The sequence below is a fragment of the Homo sapiens genome, chromosome 14 (genome assembly GCF_000001405.40).
Source record: "Homo sapiens chromosome 14, GRCh38.p14 Primary Assembly".
Taxonomy (NCBI): Eukaryota; Metazoa; Chordata; class Mammalia; order Primates; family Hominidae; genus Homo; species Homo sapiens.
Window position 1 is genome coordinate 62,155,064 of NC_000014.9, and position 1,146 is coordinate 62,156,209.

The window sequence follows — 1,146 nt, forward strand, 5'->3', positions numbered from 1 at the left end:
TCAATGTTCAGCTCCCACTTATAAGTGAGAATATGCGGCATTTAGTTTTCTGTGCCAATGTTAATTTGCTTAGGATAATGGCCTCCAGCTACATCCATGTTGCTGCAGAGGACACAAGTTCATTCTTTGTATGGCTGCATAGTACTCCCTGGTGCCTATGTACCACATTTTCTTTATCCAATCCACCATTGATAGGCACCTAGGTTGATGCCATGTCTTTGCTATTGTGAAGTGTGGAACTACTACTATAAGTGCATGTCTGTTTTTGGTATAATTATCTATTTTCCTTTGGGTATATACCTAGTAATGGGATTGCTGGGTTAAATGGTAGCTCTGTTTTAAGTTCTTTGAGACATCTCCAAACTGCTTTCCACAGTGGCTGAACTAATTTACATTCCTACTAATGGCATATAAGTGTTCCCTTTTCTCCACAGCCTCACCATCATCTGTTGTTTTTGACTTTATAATAACTCCAGTTTATTTTTAAATTTAGGGAAATTCTGACAACAAATCCAGTCAAATATAACATAGACAGGAAAAACAGAACAAATTCTATACATGCAGTTGTCAAATACTAAATTCAGCAGTAAATTAAGAGACTAATGTATCAAGACCAAATGAGTTTTATTTTGGAGATATAAGGATGTTTCAACTAAAAAAGCTAGAAATAAGGCATATTATCTTAATAAAGGAAGAACATGAAATATTTCCAGTTTCTGATAAAAACCAATCTCTCAGTAAACTAGAAGTGTAAGATGTTTTTAACAAGATAATGAATATCATTCTATGTTTCCAATTCTACATTATGTACTTAATAATGAAATAACGGAAACATGTCCTCCATAATTAGTAGTGCACTAAGCATGCCCACTATGACTACTTTTATTTACTGTTGCCCTGGAATTTCTAGGTATGGGTACAGAAAATGTAGACGTTATTAGTTTTAGATAGTATTATTCCCATGGACACAACACAAAAAATCCATTAAAAAACCATTAGCTATAATAAGAAACTTTAATTAAGTGACGGATTTAAAAGTAGAGGAATAAAAGCTTTTCTATTAAGTAGTAACTATCAGCTAGGAAAAAGAATAATGAAATAAGGATACCATTCAGAATGCAATAAAAGTACAAATAAATATTTGAT